The sequence below is a fragment of the Homo sapiens genome, chromosome 16, assembly GCF_000001405.40.
Source record: "Homo sapiens chromosome 16, GRCh38.p14 Primary Assembly".
In the NCBI taxonomy this organism is placed as follows: domain Eukaryota; kingdom Metazoa; phylum Chordata; class Mammalia; order Primates; family Hominidae; genus Homo; species Homo sapiens.
The window spans coordinates 22,231,180-22,252,424 of NC_000016.10; the positions used below are offsets into that span (position 1 = coordinate 22,231,180).

The 21,245-nt window shown below is 47.6% G+C and overlaps 1 protein-coding gene across 1 annotated transcript in view; it reads left to right on the forward strand.

Annotated features, from left to right (window-relative positions):
- Window positions 1-21,245, forward strand: part of EEF2K (eukaryotic elongation factor 2 kinase) — an 82,461-nt gene that overhangs the window by 24,902 nt on the left and 36,314 nt on the right. Inside the window, exons 3-6 of the mRNA NM_013302.5 lie at window positions 13,451-13,551; window positions 17,576-17,636; window positions 19,475-19,512; window positions 19,972-20,143. Coding sequence (NP_037434.2) covers window positions 13,451-13,551; window positions 17,576-17,636; window positions 19,475-19,512; window positions 19,972-20,143 — 372 coding nt within the window. The remainder of the gene's footprint in view (window positions 1-13,450; window positions 13,552-17,575; window positions 17,637-19,474; window positions 19,513-19,971; window positions 20,144-21,245) is intronic.

Consider the following 21,245-nt stretch of genomic DNA (forward strand, 5'->3'; position numbering starts at 1 on the left):
CCAGGTTGAAGCAATTCTCCTGCCTCAGCCTTCCGAATAGCTGGGATTACAGCCGCCCGCCACCACGCCTTGCTAATTTTTTATTTGTTTATTTATTTATTTATTTTTTGTATATTTAGTAGAGACGGGGGTTTCACCACGTTGGCCAGGCTGGTCTTGAACTCCTGACCTCGTGATCCACCCACCTCGACCTCCCAAAGTGCTGGGATTACAGGCATGAGCCACCACGCCCGACCTGATCCTATTTTTATTAAAAATGTATATACATATATATTGGTATCTGCATAGCAAAAACCATTTGAAGGGGAAGTTTGCACCCAGCAGTTAGTGGCAGTTCTCTCTATGGGAGAGGTACCATTAAAGGGGGGCTTTGTATATTTTTTAAACATTTTAAACTTTTAAAGTTACACATATGTATCACTTATGTGGAGAAAAAGATGTTGTTAAGAAAAATAAAGTAAAATAACCAGGTAACTTCCTCTTCCTCAAATACATTGATAAATACCCCCTCCTCAAAACTCATCACTTCTGGCCGGGCACGGTGGCTCACACCTGTAATCCCAGCACTTTGGGAGGCTGGGGCAGGTGGATCACGAGGTCAGGAGTTTGAGACCAGCCTGACCTACATGGTGATACCCTGTCACTACTAAAAATACAAAAATTAGCCAGGCATGGTGGCACATGCCTGTAATCCCAGCTACTCAGGAGGCTGAGCCAGGAGAATCACTTGAACCTGGGAGGCTGAGGTTGCAGTGAGCCAAGATCGCGCCATTGCACTCCAGCCTGGGCAACGAGAGCGAAACTCTGTCTTAAACAAACAAAAAAAAAAAAAAAAAAAAAAGCTTCATCACCAGGATGGGAGTGTCTTCTAGGTCCCTCCGCTCCAGGACCTTTCTAGGCTCTGTTCATCCCCTCCACTCACACACATCTGGAAGCTCCTGGAATGGGCTTCCCTTTTTCACACCTCTGCCTTATAAAATTTCTTTCAACTGATGTCCTGGTCTATCAAAATTACAGTTCTGCCTCCTTCAGAACCCAGCTTTAATTTTTATTTTTTTAATTTTAAAGACAAGGTCTTGCTGTGTTGCCCAGGCTGGAGTACAGTGGCATGATCATAACTCACTGCAGCCTCTAACTCCTGGGCTTGAGCGATCCTCCCACCTCAGCCTCCTGAGTAGCTGAGACCACAGGCGTGCACCACCACACTTGGCCAACTTCTTAATTTTTTTTTGGAACGATGGGGTCTCATTACGTTGCCCAGGCTGGTCTTGAACTCCTGGCCTCAAGCAGTCCTCCTGCCTCAGCTTCCCAAAGTGTTGGGATTACAAGCATAAGCGATTGAGCCTGGCCCAGAGCCCAGATTGAAGACAACCTTTCCAGGCTTTCTGCTCTGCCTTCCGTGGGGCTCTTAGCAGACCTTTATGTGTGTGAGTCATTCTCCAGTGTCGTTCTTTGTTTGAGTCAGCACCTGACTGCAAGAGTAGGGTTGTGTCTGATGCGACCTCCATTCCCTTGGTCCTGCGTAGTAGGACTTGATAAAATGTTTGACTGTGTGTGGACGGGAGTTGGCACTTCATTGCTTACTTTCTAGGTTATCGAAAGCAGGCTCTGTTGGGTTAGTGTTGCCAGGGGTGGCTTCAGAGGGAGACAACAGCTCAGCTTTCCAACCTTTGTTCCCTCAGCATCCCATAAACCTAAGTGGTTTTTTTTTTAACGCACTGTGACCTGGAAACTTGGATTGTTTAACCAAAATGGCCCGCTGGCCTCCCTCCAAGGAACACACCCAGCAGGTATTGGGTGTGGATTGTGAAAGGTCAGATTCTATCGCTGTCAAGCCCAGCCTTCTGCCCAAGCTCCCGTGGAGACGTGGCAGAACCATTCAGGGGGCCGCCCTCTCCATAGAATATCAGGCAGTCATCCAAAGATGTTTATAGAGTTTATGATAACGTGGGAAAGTGCCTCTGCTCCAGAGTTAAATCTAAAAAGAATACAGCATGATTATAGCTCTGTGAAACTCGCACGTACACATACAGCCAAGGCCTGAGGGGAAGCACATCACCAGGGCAGCAGGAATTGTCTTTGGATTGGATTAGGAGGGACTGTGTTCCTTTTCTCCTTCTCTGTCATTTCTACATTTTCTAGAATAAGCATAGGGAGCAAATACATGTTTTTAATTTGTTATTAAGGTGGGAAATTTTATTTTTAAATATTATTTTCAGCCAGGTGCACTGGCTCATGTCTGTAATCCTAGGACTTTTGGCGGCCGAGGCAGGTAGATCACTTGAGGTCAGGAGTTCGAGACCACCCTGGCCAACATGGTGAAACCCCGTCTCTACTAAAAATACAAAAAAAAAAAAAATAGCCGGGCATGGAGGTGGGCACCTATAATCCCAGCTACTCCACAGGCTGAGGCAGGAGAATCACTTGAACCTGGGAGGCAGAGGCTGCAGTGAGAGATTGCACCACTGCCCTTTAGCCTAGGCAACAGAGCGAGACCCTCTCCCCTGCCCCCTGGCAAAAAAATATTTTCCTGATCTGAGAATATCTCAGAGCTCATTCCACATCAATACACATAGATCACCTTATTTAAAAAAATTTCTTTTGAGATAGGGTTGCCCAGGCAGAAGTGCAGTGGTGTGATCATAGCTCACTGCATTGAAATCCTGGGCTCAAGTGATCCTCCCACCTCAGCCTCCCGAGTAGCTGGGACCACAGGCATGCACCACCATGCCCAGCCTGTTGTTGGTTATTTAATGGCTGAATATCATTTCATTGTTGGAAGCACCATAATAAATGTAGCCAGCCCCTCCTTGTAGGGTATGTAGGTTATTTCCAGTCTTGTCCTGCCACAAACAGCACTTCCTTGTGCATGTGTCTTTGCACCCATGAATGGGCGTGCCCACCAGAGGACCCCCCCCAGAGGTGAACTGGCTAGGCAAAACGTTTGTGTGTTTAAACTGGGATAGGTGTTGTCGGTTGCTCCTCAAAGAGGTTACACCATCGTGTGTGCCCCCCATGATGGGTGGGTACACCTGCTTCCCATGCCCTTATTTGGCCAACTTTGGTGATTACACTCATACTTGTAACCCACTGAGGGCAGCTCTAACAGCATGATCAAAGAATAATGATTGCCTTGGGAGGCCGAGGCTGGTGGATCACCTGAGGTCAGGAGTTGGAGACCAGCCTGACCAATATGGTGAAACTTCATCTCTACTAAAAATACAAAAATTATCTGGGCGTGGTGGTGTGAGACTGTAGTCCCAGCTACTCAGGAGGCTGAGGCAGGGGAATCACTTGAACCCGGGAGGCGGAGGTTGCAGTGAGCCAAGATCGCACCACTGCACTCCAGCCTGGGCAACAGGAAAAAAAAAAAAAAATTTTAGCAGTTTTTGGAAATATAATTCACATGCCATACAATTTACCCATTTAAAATGTACTATTCAAAGCCTTTGAGTATATTCATAAAATTATGCATCCATCACCACAACCACTTTTAGAACATTTTACCCAAAAACTAAATTCTATACCCCTTAGCCATCACGCTCTAATATACACATCCCACCCAGCCCCAGGCAAACACCAGTCCACTTTCTGCCTCTCTGGACTTGCCTTTTCTGGACGTTTTACATAAATAGAATCATACAACATGTGGCCTTTTATGTCTGGCTTCTTTTGCTAAGCATAATGTTTTTTGTTGCTTTTTTTTTTTTTTTTTTTTTTAGGGGCGGTTTCACTCTGTTGCCCCTGCTGGAGTGCAGTGGTGCCATCTCTGCTCACTGCAACCTCTGCCTCCCAGGTTCAAGTGATTCTCTTGCCTCAGCCTCCTGAGTAGCTGGGATTACAGGCAACATGGTGAAACCCCATCTCTACTAAAAATACAAAAAATTAGCCGGGCATGGGGGCGCACACCTGTAGTCCCAGTTACTGGGGAGGCTGAGGCGCAAGAATTGTTTAAACCTGGGAGGCAGAGATTGCAGTGAGCTGAGATTGTACAACTGCACTCCAGCCTGGGAGACAGAGCAAGACTGTGTCTCAAAAAAAAAAAAGTGCAGATATTTTGCTATTAAGATCTTAGTGTATAGTTCAGACTTTACTGTATTTCACTTTAAATATACACAAATATGGACATTTTGTTGCTACTGTAGAATCATGCTATATATGTCTTCAGTAACCAGTTTTTTTCGGCAAGCAAGAAATCATCATGTCTTTTCAGATCAGTAAATATGGATGTAGTGTCTTGATGGCTCTGTCAGCCCATTGTATGGCTACACCACAGTTTCTTTAAGCATTGCCTCTTGTGGGATACTTAGGCAGTTTCCACGTTTGTTTGTTTTTGAGATGGAGTTTCGCTCTTGTTGCCCAGGCTGGAGTGCAATGGCACGATCTCAGCTCACTGGAACCTCTGCCTCTCGGGTTCAAGTGATTCTCCAGCTTCAGCCTCCCAAGTAGCTGGGATTACAGGCATGCACCACCACGCCTGACTAATTTTGCATTTTTTAGTGGAGATGGGGTTTCTCCATGTTGGTCAGGCTGGTCTCGAACTCCTGACGTCAGGTGATCTGCCTGCCTCAGCCTCCCAAAGTGTTGAGACTACAGGCGTGAGCCACCGCGTCTGGCCAGTTTGTTTGTTTTTTAAGAGATAGGGTCTCATGCTGTTGCCCAGGCTGGAGTGCAGTGGCACAATCATGGGTCACTGTAGCCTCGACCTCCTGAGCTCAAGTGATCCTCCCACCCCAGCTCCCCAGGTAGTTGGGACTAAAGGCATGCGCCATCACGCCTGGCTAATTTTTGTATTTTTTTTTTTGTAGAAATGGGGTCTTGCTATGCTGCCCAGGCTGCTCTGGAACTCCAAGTGTCAAGTGATCCTCCTGCCTTGGCCTCCCAAATTGCTGGGATCACAGGCATGACCACTGTGCCTGGTTTCCAGTTTTTTGCTGCTGTATTCCATGCTGGGTTCCACTGATAATTGTACCAAACCTCTAAGTGCATGTGGCATAGATTGTGGCCTCTACACACCACTGTTGGTCTCTTTCCATTCCAGAGCCTCACTGTGTTCCCCCACTTCTTCCCGCTTCTTTTATTTGAGCCCTTGAGTTTGGTTAAGCCCATTACTGCTCTGCAGGAGGGGAGAGTAGTTGGGCTGTCTCTGAGTTGTATTTCTTTTTTTTTTTTTTTGCCTCGACTTCCCAGGTTCAGGTGATCCTTCCACCTCAGCCTCCTGAGTAGCTATTACTACAGGCGCATGGCACCATGCCTGGCTAATTTTTTGTATTTGTAGTAGAGGCAGGGTTTCGCAATGTTGCCTAGACTTCTGAGCTGTATTTCATAAAGTCTGCAGAAGTGATGATGGGGAAAAAAATGATTTTATAACATGAAGTGACTGTAACAGGTGATAAAGGCTTGGGTGAGTCACTGGATGTGTCCTCAAGTAACCAGGGGCCTTGATTACTGTGATAATGGCAATAATAACAGTAATATAAAATTGGCAACAACAGTGATAACATCCCACGTGCCAAAACATTTGCAAACACATTGCCGGCACTCCACCCTCACTCCTGGCATACTCGATGAAGTAAATTATTATTACTATAGTAATCATTATTATTATTTCCATCTCCCTTTCCTGGTATATAATTATTATGATTTCACTATTATTTATTTTTATTTTGTACTCTCAGACTTTGAAGAACCACAGCCTTTCTATTCTGTAGCCAGAATTATGTTTTCCTTTTTTTATGAAATATCCACAGACCTCTTTTTTTTTTTTTTTTTTTTTTTTTTTTGAGACAGAGTCTTGCTCTGTCACCCAGGCTGTAGTGCAGTGGTGCAATCTCAGCTCATTGCAACCTCCACCTCCTGGGTTCAAGCGATTCTCATGCCTCAGCCTCCTGAGTAGCTGGGAGCACAGGCACACGTCACCACGCCCAGCTAATTTTTATATTTTTTGTAGAGAGGGGGTTTCACCATGTTCACCAGACTGGTCTCAAACTCCTGGCCTCAAGTGCTCCACCTATGTCGGCCTCCCAAAGTGCTAGGATTACAGGCATGAGCCACCACACCCGGCCCATAGCCCTCTGTTCTATGTAAGATTAATTAACCTACTCAACAACTGAGTTCCGGAATCCTTAGAAATAGAGGATATTAGAGCTGGCACGGCCTTAAGAATCATCTAACCTGGCCAGGCGCAGTGGCTTATGTCTGTAATCCCAGCACTTTGGGAGGCCAAGACAGGTGGATCACTTGAGTCCGGGAGTTTGAGACCAGCCTGGGCAACATGGTGAAACTCTGTCTCTACAAAAATACAAAAAATTAGCCAGGCGTGGTGGCGTGTGCCCATAGGCCCAGCTACCCGGGAGGTTGAGGTGGAGGTTGAGGTTTCAGTGAGCCATGATTCCATTACTGCACTGCAGGCTGCGCAACAGAGTGAAACCCTGTCTCAAAAAAAAAAAGAAAAGAAGAAAACTCGTCTAACCCAGTAATTTTTGTTTCTTAACTTTGATTTACACAGGCATTACCTAAATACATTCTCATTGTAAAAAGAATGCAAACAACATAGATAAACTGAGGTCTCTTTGAGCAACTTCTTATCCCTTTCTATTCCCAGAGATAAGAATTATATTAGTTTCATATAAATTACTTTTCAGACCTCTTTTTGTGCATTTGCATATAAGTATACATTTGTGTGTATGTCTACAGACACACACATCCTTAGAAAATCCATGGTATTGATTTGTGGGTTTCCGCCACCAGTAAGTGGTATCATAGTGTTTGTATTGTTCTGTAACTTGCTTTTTTCCCCCCTAAACAATAGGTCTTAGAAATTGCCCATGCTGGGTGCGGTGGCTCACGCCTGTAATCTCAGCACTTTGGGAGGCCAAGGTGAGTGGATCACCTGAGGCCAGGAGTTCAAGACCAGCCTGACCAATATGGTGAAACCTGATCTCTACTAAAAATACAAAAATTAGCCGGGTGTGGTGGCACTCACCTGTAATCCCAGATACTCAGGCAGCTGAGACAAAATTGCTTGAACCCAGGAGACGGAGGTTGCAGTGAGCAGAGATGGCGCCACTGCACTCCAGCCTGGACGACAGAGTGAGACCACGTCCCCCACTCCCTGCCCGGGGGGAATACAAAGATCACCCGTGCTAGCATCTTATTTTGAGTATACCAAGTGTATGTGATCATCCCCCTACAGATGGGCAGTTTGTACTGCCTGATCATTATGGCATTATAAGTGCTGACCTTGAGGCTAGAGTTCAAGACCACCCTGGACAACATAGAGAGACTGTCATCTCTACACACACACAATTTTTTAAATTAGCTGGGCATGATGGTGAGCACCCATAGTCCCAGCTACCTGGGAGGCTGAGTTGAGAAGATTCGTTGAGCCCAGGAGTTGGAGGCTTCAGTGAGCTATGATCCCACCACTGCACTTCAGCCTAGGCAACAAAGTAATAAATACCTGGTCTCAAAAAAAAAGAAAAAAGGAAAAAAAAAAAAAAAAAAAGCACTGATCATCCTTGGACCAGCTTACCTGGACACACCTGGGTAGGTGATAGGAATGGCTGGGTCAGAAGTCGGTGCAGAAGAAGGTTCATAGCCACTGCCAGGTGGCTCTCAAAGATGGCAGTACCTGCTTCCATTCCCCACCTGATGGTAACATTACTGGTGATTTGTAGCTCCAGCAGGAGTCACCCATAATAAGCACTGCCACCCCAGTGAGCCACTGTTTTTGGTGGGAGTGTGTCTACCCTGGGTGCAGGGGCCACAAAAAAGTGGACCACCAGCAGCCAAAACCTTCTTCATCCTTGTTTGTAAACAAGGAAATGGAGGTTCCCACAGCCAGTCAGTAAGCTGGAACCAGAGTCAGGGACATGAATGTTAGTACAGTACTTTTTATACTGTGCTTATTAAAAAAAAAAAAGTCAGTTGCATTAATCCCACCTGTTGCCAATAAGGTCTGGCATGACTCTGTTCTGGGTTTGGAAAAAAGGTAATTTTTATTCTATGAAATACCACACCCTCTAATTCTGCAGTACTTTCCTCCCTGTTTTGTGGTTGGTGCCACGGCATCCAGCCAGGAGGTAATTTCTGTTGCTAATCTTCACTGAATGGGGACGGTCCCTGTTAGTGGCTTACGGAGTGGCGGAGTCGTTTGAGAGAGGCACTGTCAGAGAATTGTGTGTCGTAGACAGAGAACAGGGCACCTGTACAGACATGCTTGGAAGGGTGGCCTGCTGAATTCTCAACCCTGCAGGCTCTCCTGACAGGTGGAGGTCGAAGGCTGTCCCTGCCATTTGTAGCAGCCGGAATATGAGCTGAGACTGGTGCTTTAAGTTACGGGGATTGGGCTGGGCGTGGTGGCTCATGCCTGTAATCCCAGTGCTTTGGAAGGACAAGGCAGGAGGATCACTTGAGCCCAGAAGTTTGAGAACAGCCTGGGCAACATACCGAGATCCTGTCTGTACAGAAATTTAAAAAATTAGCCAGGCATGATGGCAAGCGCCTGTCATCCCAGCTATTCGGGAAGCTGAAGCAGGAGGATCACTTGAACCCAGGAGTTTGAGGCTGCGGTGAGCTGTGATCATGCCACTGCATTCCAGCCTGAGTGACAGAGCAAGACCCTGTCTCTTTAAGAGAAAAAGTACAGGGGCCAGGCTCATGCCTGTAATCCCAGCACTTTGGGAGGCCGAGGCAGGCGGATCACAAGGTCAAGAGATCGAGACCATCCTGGCCAACATGGTGAAACCCTGTCTCTACTAAAAATACAATAATTAGCTGGGCGTGGTGGCGCAAGCCTGTAGTCCCAGCTGCTCAGGAGGCTGAGGCAGGAGAATCGCTTGAACCCAGGAGGCAGAGGTTGCAGTGAGCCGAGATCATGCCACTTCACTCCAGCCTGGTGACAGAGCCAGACTCCATCTCAAAAAAAAAAAAAAAAAAAAGGTACAGGGACCGAAATTCAGAAAAATGTTTTAGACATACACATGTCTGCTGTGGGGTTATTTACAACAGGGAGCAATCAGTGACAAGCTTGAAGTCTAACAGTGGAGAGCAACAGGTGAATAATCAAGTCAATAACAAAAAAGTTATACAGTAGATTATTATGCAACTATTAAAGCAGGATGCAAATAACTTATAAATTTTATAGTTATCTGATGTACTGTCTGTGCCAAAAGAATTTTAGTGATTTGTTTACTGCTTCTTGGAGTATAACTTGGGATAAATTTTTTGGCAGAGAACTCAGTCATTTCTAGATTTTAAATGTGATCCAGCAGTTACATTTCCCAAAAAATATGTACTACTGAGATCTTGCACAAGCGCCCAAGATTTGGATAGGAAGATGTTCACTTCAGCACTGTTTGTACTAGGAAATGTTGGAGGGAACCCAAACATTATTCAATTGGAGGTTAGGCAAATACCTTAAGGTACATTTATATAATTATATATCTGGTAGTTCTGGAAATGAAAGGAGGTTACCCCAGCCAGTCTGCACATATGACATGGAAAGATGTCCAAGATCTTACATTAAGAAAAGTCAGATGCACAACAGAACATGTGGTGTGGTCCAATTGCTCTTTCTTTTTATTTTGTTTTATTTTTATTTTTTTGAGATGGAGTCTCACTGTGTCGCCCAGGCTGGAGTGTAGTTGTGCTCTCTTGCCTCACTGCAACCTCCGCCTCCTGGGTTCAAGCGATTCTCCTGCCTCAGCCTCCCAAGTAGCTGGGATTACAGGCTCGTGCCACCATGCCCGGCTAATTTTTGTATTTTTAGTAGTGACAGGGTTTTACCATGTTGGCCAGGCTGGTATCAAACTCCTGACCTTGTGATCTGCCTGCCTCAGCCTCCCAAAGTGCTGGGATTACAGGTGTGAGCCACCGCGCCCGGCCTAAACTGCTCTTAAATATGTGTTTATGTTCACAGAGGCATAGGAAAAAATTTTGCAGAATGTCTACATCAACTGTCAGCTGTGGTTTTCAGAGGAAGTGGATTAGGGAGGACTTCCGCTTTCTAATTCAGAGTTCTATAGTGCTTGCAGTTTTTATGTGATGTGGATCATACTTTGGAATCAGAAAAAAAAATTGAGATCACTAAATAAAGCACAAAATCCCATTGACCCACTCTTCTGTAAGGAGGTGAATTATATTTTATGGTATGATACCAATCTTATTAAAAAATGCATGTAGGCCGGGCAAGGTGGCCACGCCTGTAATCCCAGCACTTTGGGAGGCCAAGGCGGGTGGATCACCTGAGGTCAGGAGTTCGAGACTAGCCTGGCCAACATGGTGAAACCCCGTCTCTACTAAAAATACAAAAATTAGCCAGGCATGTTGGCTCACGCCTGTAATCCCAGCTACTCAGGAGGCTGAGGCAGGAAAATTGCTTGAACCCAGGAGGTTGCAGTGAGCTGAGATCACCCCACTGCACTTTAGCCTGGGTGACAGAGGGAGACTGTCTCAAAAAAAAAAAAAAAAAAAAAAAAAACATATAGAAGATCTGGAAAAGAATTAGTCTACGGCATTGCTCCAGTGGATGGTATATGGTGGATTTGACTTTTGTCTTCTGTATTCTCCAACTTTTAAATTAAGTCTAAATTAGCTACCAAAATAGAAGAAAAGAATTACAGGCTTTATTTTTTGAACTCTGCAGAGGTAAAAAAGCCCCAGCAGGCTAGGTGCAGCAGCTCATCTCTGTAATCCTAGTTCCTTGGGAGGTTGAGGCAGGAGGATCACTTGAGGCCAGGAGTTCGAGACCAGCCTGGGCAACAAACGTAGTGCAACCCGGTCTCTGCAAAATAAAAATAAAAATAAAAAAATTAGCTGGGCATGGTGACACACAAGTGTAGTCCCAGCTACTCAGGAGGCTGAGGCAGGAAGATCGCTTGAGCCCAGGAGTTTTGAGGTTGCAGAGAGCTATGATCACACTACCACCACGTAGCCTGGACAACAGAGAGAGACCTTATTCCTATTTAAAAAACAAAACAAAAACCCAAAAACAAAAGAAAGCCCTAGAGAGAGTGAGAGGCCTGGGCTCTGTGTGTGTGTATTGGAAGGCCCAGCTCCACTGCCTGAGCTGCTTCTATTTTGAGCAGGACCCAGTGCTGGGGATGAGGTGAAGCCCTGTTTGGGCTGAGTCCTTGGGAAGCTGGACTCTTTTTTTTGGGTACAGAGTCTTGCTCTGTCACCCAGGCTGGAGTGCAGTGGCCTGATCTCCATTCACTGCAACCTCCACCTCCTGGTTCAAGCGATTTTCCTGCCTCAGCCTCCCGAGTATCTGGGATTACACGTATGCACCCAGCTTTTTTTTTTTTTAAAGTAGAGACGGGGTTTCACCACGTTGGCCAGGCTGGTCTCGAGCTCCTGACCTTGGATGATCCATCTGCCTCGGCCTCCCAAAGTGCTGGGATTACAGGCGTGAGCCACCATGCCTGGCTACTCTCAATAGGTTTTGATAGATTTGGGAGTTCTTTTGGGCCATCATAATGATGGGGTGGTGGGCACTGCTGGCATAGAGTTAGGGAAGGCCGGGAATGCCAGCAACCCTGAAACAGGGCTGTTCTGCACGATGAATTTTCCTGCATCCCACAAGATCTTGGAACAGCTCATGGGAATCGTTTCATAATTATCTGAGGCCAGAGTTAAATGCTATGTTATGTGTAAAGGCGGCGTATCCTTTGGGAGGCTGAGGTGGGAGGATCGCTTGAAGTTCAAGACCAGCCTGGGCAATATGGTGAGACCCTGTCCCTACAGAAAATTAAAAAATTAACCAGGTATGGTGGCTCAGCCTGGGGTCCTAGCTACTCAGGAGGCTGAGGCGAGAGGATCACCTGAGCCGTGATCATGCCACTGCACTCCGGCCTGGGGACAGGGTGAGACCCCGTCTCTTGAAAAAAAAATAAAAAATAAAAAAGGCAACATATCTTTGGCATGGTTCTAGCTCTGAGCTTAGAAATTTATGTTATCTATGAATTTCACATAGGGCAGTAAAATGGGGTGTTATATAATATTTATTATAAAAAGAGGTCATTGGGTCTGGTAAGGTCAAGAATCTCCACCAGAGATGCAGCCTATTTTTTTTTTTTTTTTTTTTCTGAGACAGGGTCTCCCTCTGTCACTCAGGCTGGAGTGCAATGGCACAATCTCGGCTCACTACAACCTCTGCCTCCTGGGTTCAAGCGATTCTCCTCTCTCAGCCTCCCAAGTAGCTGGGATTACAAGCGTGTGCCACCATGCCCAGCTAATTTTTGTATTTTTAGTAGAGACAGGGTTTCACCGTGTTGGCCACACTGGTCTCAAACTCTTGACCTCAGGTAAACCACCTGCCTCGGCCTCCCAAAATGCTGGGATTACAGGCACGAGCCACTGCACCCAGCCCAGCCTAGAAAAGTTTTATACCCCCGATGGTGTGTGAGGGTACCCGTTCCCTGATATCCGGGCCAGCACTCGCTAAAATGTTTCATCTCATTAAAATAATTGCCAGCCTGCTGTAATCCCAGCACTTTGGGAGGCCGAGGCTGGTGGATCACTTGAGGTCAGGAGTTTGACACCAGCCTGGCCAACATGACGAAACCCCGTCTCTACCAAAAAGTACAAAAATTAGCCAGGTATAGTGGTGTGCACCTGTAGGTCCAGCTACTCCCAAGGCTGAGGTGGGAGGATCGCTTGAATCCAGGAGGCAGAGGTTGCAGTGAGCCGAGATTGCACCACTGCACTCCAGCCTCGGCGACAAAGTAAGACCCTGTCTCAAAAAAAAAAAAAAAAAAAAAGAGGCCGGGCACAGTGGCTCACGCCTGTAATGTCAGCACTTTGGGAGGCCAAGGCGGGTGGATCACTTGAGGTCAGGAGTTCGAGACCAGCCAGGCCAATGTGGTGAAACCTTGTTTCTACCAAAAAATGCAAAAAGTAGCAGTGCGTGGTGGCGGGCGCCTATAATCTCAGCTACTTGGGAGGCTGAGGCATGAGAATTGCTTGAACCCGGGAGGTGGAGGTTGCAGCGAGCCAAGATCACATCACTGCACTCCAGCCTGGGTGACAGAGTGAGACTCTGTTTCTATATATATATATACGTTATATTCTGTTTCTATATATGTATTGTGTGTGTGTGTGTGTGTGTGTGTGTGTGTGTGTGTGTGTATATCCTATATAATATATATATAATGAAATGTTAGCCAACCTGAATGGGGGAATGGTATCCTATTTTCATTCTCAACTCTTTGATCCAAGCGTTGTGTAGTTAAGATGTGCCATTTCTGCCCACAGGGAGGCTGTGCCTGTGAGTGCAGATAGGTTCTTTTGGGGACTGTGTTCCTGAAAGGCTACTAGACAGGAGTCTCTCTCTGTCCTGATACTGTCTGCCTCTCCAGAGGAAATAACAGGGCAGGAGGAGTCCACGCTGTCCCCAAAGCCCCTGACCTGGGCCTGATGTTCCTACCTTCTCCTTTGCCTTCCACAGGAAGCCTGGAAGCACGCAATCCAGAAGGCCAAGCACATGCCCGACCCCTGGGCTGAGTTCCACCTGGAAGATATTGCCACCGAACGTGCTACTCGACACAGGTCAGCAGCTTGTGTGGGGTCTCGAGGAGTCCTGGGGGCTATACGTCCAGCTTCTGTTCCCAATCAGTGAGGCCTAAGTACTCTTGGGGGTCAGGGGAAGGGAGTAATCATAACAGCAGCTAATATTGGCATGCTAATGCGTGCTTAAGGCCCGGTGCATTACCTCACTGAATCCTTCTCGTGGTTCTCACAAGGTACCTATTAGACAGGCTAGACTGAGCTAGTTTTTTTAAATTGTTGCAGATCTCTGGCCGGGTGAGGTGGCTCTCACCTGTAATCCCAGCACTTTGGGAGGCTGAGGTGGGCAGATCACTTGAGGTCAGGAGTTCAAGACCAGCCTGGCCGACATGGTGAAACCCCATCTCTACTAAAAATACAAAAATTAGCCATAGCCAAGCGTGGTGGCTGGCACCTGTAATCCCAGCTACTCAGGAGGCTGAGGCAGGAGAATCGCTTGAACTCAGGAAGTGGAGGTTGCAGTGAGCTGATATAGCACTGCTGCACTCCAACCTGGGCGTCAGAGTAACACTCCATGTCAAAAATAAAATAAAATAAAATTGTTGCAAATCTCTGAAACATTTTCCAATATATTGATTGAAGAAAGTCCATTTATAAGTAGACCCACGCACTTCAAACCCATGTCATTCAAGCATCAACTATACTTGCCCTGGGCCGGTGCAAACTGTGCAGCTCTGGAGAGCTTTCCTCCCTCTGAGCCTAGGGGAGGTTAACCTGCCAGGCCTCTGCTTGTTTTTCCCGGTGGAGGCATCAGGCTCTGGGAAACCTGTTCTCACCGAGGGTGGGGTGTTCTGGAGTCTGCCCCGGCTGAGAGGTGCGCTAAGGGAAACCTCCAACTAGAGTTAAGAACACCTCAGCCCGGAGGGAGGTTTCAAACTTTAGGGATCCATTGAGCTGAGGAGATTTCCACCAGGCAAACTTGTGTGAGGCCTGGCCAGGCCCAGGGGCTGATTTACTCTGGGAAAGGAGAGATGGAAATGTTCCCTGAACCCTCTCCAAGCTCTCTCTGCCTTAGGTATGCACCTATCTGTGACAAAAACAAACTTAATTTAACCTACTGTACCCTTACAACACAGAATGCTTCTGTGAGCTCAAAATGTGTGGCGGTTTCTCCCCACCCACAAGCAAGTAATCAGCTCTGCAGTGGACACCAGCAGATGTGCGTCTAATTCTGTTCCTCTAATTGAAGGAATTAGAGGAGTTTTGAGTTGGGTATCCTATGATTCAATTCAATTCTGACACCATCTACCTGGAGATAGCATCAGATCCCACAGGTTGGAGGCTCAGTCCTACAAGACCGTCCCCGACTTTCACTGCTGATCGCAAGCCCGAAGTGGTTTCACCTGTGCTTCTGACCAGCTATAAATCAGGGTTCCCATGAACCCCTCCTTGGGTTTGATTAACTTGCTGGAGCAGCTCACGGAACTCAGGGAAACACTTACTCATATTTACTGGTTTATTATAAAGGATGTTACAAAGGGTACAGAAGAAGACTGGGCATGGTGGCTCATGCCTGTAATCCCAGCACTTTGGGAGGCCGAGGTGAGTGGATCACTTGAGGTCAGGAGTTCGAGACCAGCCTGACCAACATGGTGAAACCCCATCTCTTCTAAAAATTTAGCCGGGTGTGGTGGTAGGCGCCTGTAATCCCAGCTACTCAGGAGGCTGAGGCAGGAGACTTGCTTGAACCCTGGGAGACAGAGGTTGCAGTGAGCTGAGATCGTGCCACTACACTCCAGCCTGGGTGACAGAGTGAGACTCAGTCTTAAAAAAAAAAAAAAAAAAAAAAAAAGACGTCACTTTGGAGATTCCAAGGACTTTCAGAGTTGCATGCCAGGAAATGGAATCTAAAACAAAATATATATTTACCATCACACAACCTGGTACTGGGGCTCAGAAAATGATACCCCAAAGTGAAGGCTTCAGAAATAGCCCCTCTCTGATCATCTCCTGCCCTCCTGTCTCTCACCCCTTGTTGTCTCCTTAAGCAAGCCATTGAAACTAGAATTGGCCGGGTGCGATGGCTCACGCCTGTAATCCCAACACTTTGGGAGGCTGAGGCAGGCGGATCATGAGATCAGGAGTTTGAGACCAGCCTGGCCAATGTGATGAAACCCCATCTCTACTAAAAATACAAAAATTAGTTGGGCACGGTGGCATGCGCCTGTAATCCCAGCTACTCAGGAGGCTAAGGCAGGAGAATCGCTTGAACCCAGGAGACAGAGGTTGCAGTGAGCTGAGTTCGCCCCACTGCACTCCAGCCTGGGTGACAGAGCGAGACTCCATCTCAAAAAAAAAAAAAAAAAAAAAAAAAAAAAAGAAACTAGAATTGCCCTTGCCCACTACCAGTCATAGAAACTAGAACCCCTTTTTCCCAAAGCCAGCCATAAAGCTTAAAAATATTACTCTAGGCCAGGCGCAGTGGCTAACGCCTGTAATCCCAGCACTTTGGGAGGCTGAAGCAGGTGGATCACTTGAGGCCAGGAGTTCAAGATCAGCCTGGCCAACATGGTGAAACTCCATCTCTACAAAAATACAAAAAAAAAAATTAGCTGGGTATGGTGGCAGGCACACCTGTAATCCCAGCTACTCGGAAGGCTGGAGCAGGAGAACTGCTTGAACCCAAGAAGCGGAGGTTGTAGTGAGCCAAGATTGCTCCACTGCACTCCAGCCTGGGTGATGGGGAGATTCTGTGTCAAAAAAAAAAAAAAATTCTCTAACCTTACATGAATTTTCTGTGCAATAGCTGGCCATAAATAAATTATGGAATGAGACCCTCATTCCAAAGGGGTCCTACTCCATACACAAGAGAAGGAAATGCTATAACAGAGTGGCCAAGAAGAATCGCAACAGGCCTTGCTGGCCAACTCAGTCTGTTACCATTAGCTCATCTCCTTTTTGCCCAATCACATTGCTTCACGCCATCCCTGCTTCACTGAACCTCAGCATAAAATCGGATTGGTTCTTCTGTATCTTTGAGTCTTCATTCTGAAGGCTTCCGTGTCACATAAAACTGGTTGTCCATGACCCTTATGATGGGGAGGAAAGAGATCACTCCTTTCTACCCGTACACCGGCAGCCCTTCTCCTGTCTAGACTCAGAGACGGGACCCTTACCCTCCACTGTGTGCGGCTGTTACTTCTCGGGAGATGTGCCCAGCTGCCTGGCAAGATCGAGGGCACCACCACCACCTCCCCTCCCTGGGCCATGCCGTTTGTTACGGAGACCAGTTATGATCAGCATATTATTTATTCAGTCATTCATCCACCTTGTATATTTATTTTATGTATGTATTTATTTTTATTTTTATTTTTATTTTTATTTTTTATCTTTTGAGACAGAGTCTCGCTCTGTCACCCAGGCTGGAGTGCAATGGTGCAATCTCGGCTCACTGTGACCTCCGCCTCCCGGGTTCAAGCGATTCTCCTGCCTCAGCCTCCTGAGTAGCTGGGATTACAGGCATGCACCACCATGCTCGGCTAATTTTTGTATTTTTAGTGCAGGCAGAGTTTCACCTTGTTGGTCAGGCTGATCTCGAACTCCTGACCTCATGATCCGCCTGCCCCAGCCTCCCAAAGTGCTGGGATTACGGGCGTGAACCACCAAGTCCGGCCATGTATATTTATTAAGCATCCACACACACTGGGTCCTGGTGACTAAGACAGACATGGGTCTGCTTTTGTGGGGTTACAGTCCAGTGGGAGCCCCAGATGCAGAACAAGCCAGTAAACAGCACAGCAGTGAGTGCTGGGGATATGGAAATGGGGGACATGGTAGAGAGGGAACAGTGGGTTTGAGGAAAGGATTGAGACCAGTGTGTTGGGACGTGGGAGGGAGGGACAGTGTCTCCAACCCAACCCAGGAGGTTGGCTGGGCTATGGGCCAAGGTGGAGAGTGGGTTGGTTCTGAGGTCAGTGGGGAGCCCAGAAGGGTCTTTGACCTTTAGCCAGTGAGAAACAGGACCACGTGATGGACGCTGTGCCCCATGGTGGATGGGTCTCTGCAGGTACAACGCCGTCACCGGGGAATGGCTGGATGATGAAGTTCTGATCAAGATGGCATCTCAGGTGAGCAGAGCGTTGAGCCCCGTGGGGACAGGGCTGAGCAAAGACTTTCTGCAGCTAACTTTGGTCTGTGCACCCTTCTCTCCCACTCCCACTTTATTTAATTTTTGTAACTTCGGGGGATTCTTTGTTATTGTTTATTTATTGGTTGTAGCCAGCATTTTTTTTTTTTTTTTTTTGAGACAGGGTCTCACTCTATTGCCCAGGAGCACAGTGGCACAGTCACAGCTCACTGCAGCCTTGACCTCCTGGTCTCAAGCCATCCTCTCACCTTAGCCTCCCAAGTAGCCAGGACCACAAGTACACACCACCACTCCTGGCTAATTTTTTTATTTTTTATAGAGACATGGGTTCCACTATGTTGCCCAGGCTGGTCTCAAACTCCTGGGCTCAAATGATCCTCCTGCCTTGGCCGCCCAGAGTGCTGGGATTATAGGCGTAAGCCACCACACCCGTCTCTACTAAAAATACAAAAAAGGCTTTTGAAGAAAAAAAAAAAAAGATAAAAGACTAGAAAATAGAGTATTCCCTGCATATTGAAGTTAGGATTGCTTTATGAAACTTTGTTTTAGTGTAATATACAATATACACAGAAAAGTGTACAGCTTGCTGAGTTGTCACAAAATGAGCACACTGCCTTAACATCGGCCCGTATCAACAAACAGAAGGCAACCAGCCTGGCCAAGCCCCTCTCAGTCACTCCTCCCATACCCACAGGGTAAGCACCCCTCTGAATTCTATCACCCTAGATTACTTTTGCCTATTTTTTTGCTTCATATAAGTGGGGGCATACAACAGGTATTCTTTTTTAGAGACAGGGTCTTGCTCTGCTGCCCAGGCTGGGGTGTAGGGGTACATGATCTTGCCTTACTGCAGCCCTGAACTCCTGGGCTCAAGCAATTATCCCACCTCAGCCTCCCGAGTAGCTCAGACTACAGGGGTGCACCGTCACACCCAGTCAATTTTTAAAAATTTTTTTTTTTTTGGAGATAGAGTTTTGCTCTTGTTGCCCAGGCTGGAGTGCAATGGTGCGATCTTGGCTCATCGCAACCTCTGCCTCCTGGGTTCAAGCAATTCTCCTGCCTCAGCCTCCCAAGTAGCTAGGATTACAGGCATGCACCATCACGCCCAGCCAATTTTTCTATTTTTAGTAGAGACAGGGTTTCTCCATATTTGTCAGGCTGGTCTCGAACTCCCGACCTCAGGTGATCCACCCACCTCAGCCTCCTAAAGTGCTGGGATTACAGGCATGAACCACTGTGCCCAGCCTTAAAATATTTGTAGAGGGAGGTCTTGCTATGTTGCCCAGGCTGGTCTTGAACTCCTGGCCTCAAGTGATCCTCTTGCCTCAGCCTCCCAAAATTCTGGGATTACAGACATAAGCCGCTGCTCCTGGTGCTGCAGGTGTTCTTTTGGTCAACATTTTGCATTGGTTTTCATCGCTGCATGGTATTTCATTGAAGGAATACACCTGGTTGATTTTTCCAGTATATTGTTGCTGGACACGTAGGTTATCTCCACTTTTTTTCTCTTACAGTCAGGGCTGGGAAAACGTCCTCTGAGATGCACTGTCCCTCCCCCATCATCCTGCCCCCGTGGATTCTTCCCCTCAGCTGGGGTGGAGGAATGGGGGTTCCTTGTCATCCTGGCAGCCTCTGGGTTGGAAGGCCTCTATGGCTTTGGTGCTGAGACATAGAAGGGAGATCCCCAGGGATTTCAGGATTGAGATGAGGCCCAGGGCACCCATTTGATAGGTGGCATGTAAGGGGAGCACCTCCTGTCTTAGGGTCCCTTTTGGGTGGGGCATGGGGACTGATAACACTCTGTGTGGTGTCTTTCAGCCCTTCGGCCGAGGAGCAATGAGGGAGTGCTTCCGGACGTAAGTGACTCAGCCTGGCTCTTGGGGCCCTGCCCAGAGTCCCCCCAGGCTCCTAAGAGCTGAGGCATTGGGACATTTTCAGCCAAGGAATGGAGCCAGGGGCCTCTGCCTTCTTGTAGCCCAGGTTCCTGTCCATCTAGTCTCCCTCGGGCCACACATTGGGCCTGGCTGTGACGATGGGCTCAGGAAGAACAGGGAACACCCCACTTACCTCTGCCCTGGTGTTGGGAGGTCAAGGGAAATGGGATAGGAGACCTTTAACAGTGACCTTTAATCCCCCTGTCCCAGCTCTTTGAAGGATGCAGAGGGGTGGGGACGTCCTTCTTACCTCCTGCATTTTGTTCCTGCTGCCAGCCACCCAGCCACATCAGACAGGGTCTTGCTGTCCTGAGGACCAGGGCTGTGTCCCTGGTGAACCCCAGAGTACCCAGGTAGGCCCCCTGTTGCCTCTTCCCACAGGAAGAAGCTCTCCAACTTCTTGCATGCCCAGCAGTGGAAGGGCGCCTCCAACTACGTGGCGAAGCGCTACATCGAGCCCGTAGACCGGGATGTGTACTTTGAGGACGTGCGTCTACAGATGGAGGCCAAGCTCTGGGGGGAGGAGTATAATCGGCACAAGCCCCCCAAGCAGGTGCGTGGCCCCACTACCTGCCCCCTTTCCATGCCAGGGCAGCTGGGCACAGTGTCTGGGAAAGAGGGCCATGGTGAATCCCTATTTCACCTTCTTTTTTTTTTTTTTTGAGATGAAGTCTTGCTCTGTCACCCACCACCAAGGCTGGAGTGCAGTGGCATGATCTTGGCTCACTGCAACCTCCATCTCCCAGGTTCAAGCGATTCTCCTGCCTCAGCCACCCCAGTAGCTGGGATTACATACAGGTGCCTGCCACCACATCTGGCTAATTTTTGTATTTTTAGTAGAGATGTGGTTTCACCATGTTGGCCAGGCTGGTCTCGAACTCCTGACCTCAAGTGATCTGCCTGCCTTGGCCTCCCAAAGTGCTGGGATTACAGGTGTGAGCCACCATACCTGGCCTCTTTCACCTTCTTAATAGTAGCTAATAACAACCACTGTTTACTGAGCATGATGAACCAAGTCATTTATTTTATTTTTATTTTTTTTGAGACAGGATCTTTCTTGGTTGCCCAGGCCAGAGTGCAGTGGCATAATTACAGCTCACTGCAGCCTCAACCTCCTGGGCTTGAACAATCCTCCCAGCTTGGCCTCCTGAGTAGCTGGGACTACAGGGGTATGCCACCATGCCTAGCTAATTTTTGTATTTTCTGTAGAGAAAGGGTTTTGCCATGTTGCCCAGGCTGGTTTCAAACTCCTGGCCTCAAGCAATCCATCCACCTCGGCCTCCCAAAGGGCTGGGATTACAGGCGTGAGCCATTGCACTTGTTCCAGAGTCATTTATTCCTAAAAACAGAGCTCTGAGGTCGGAATGTTTTTATCCTCAATTACAGATGGGATCTATTAGTCAGGATTTTTGTTTGCAAATGACAGAAACCCACTCAAACTGCTTAATCCGAAAAGGGAATTCATTGCCTTATGTAACTGAAAAATAATGCTGCCACAGGCACGGCTGGATGCAGGATTAAACTGAGGTTGTCAGAATCTTCCTCCATCTCTGGCCTGGGTGTTCTTCTGGGTTGGCGTCATTCTCAGGCAGCCTCTGCACTAGTGGTAGCACTCTGGCCCCCAGCAGGCCCAAGTTCTTGTTGGAATGACAAAA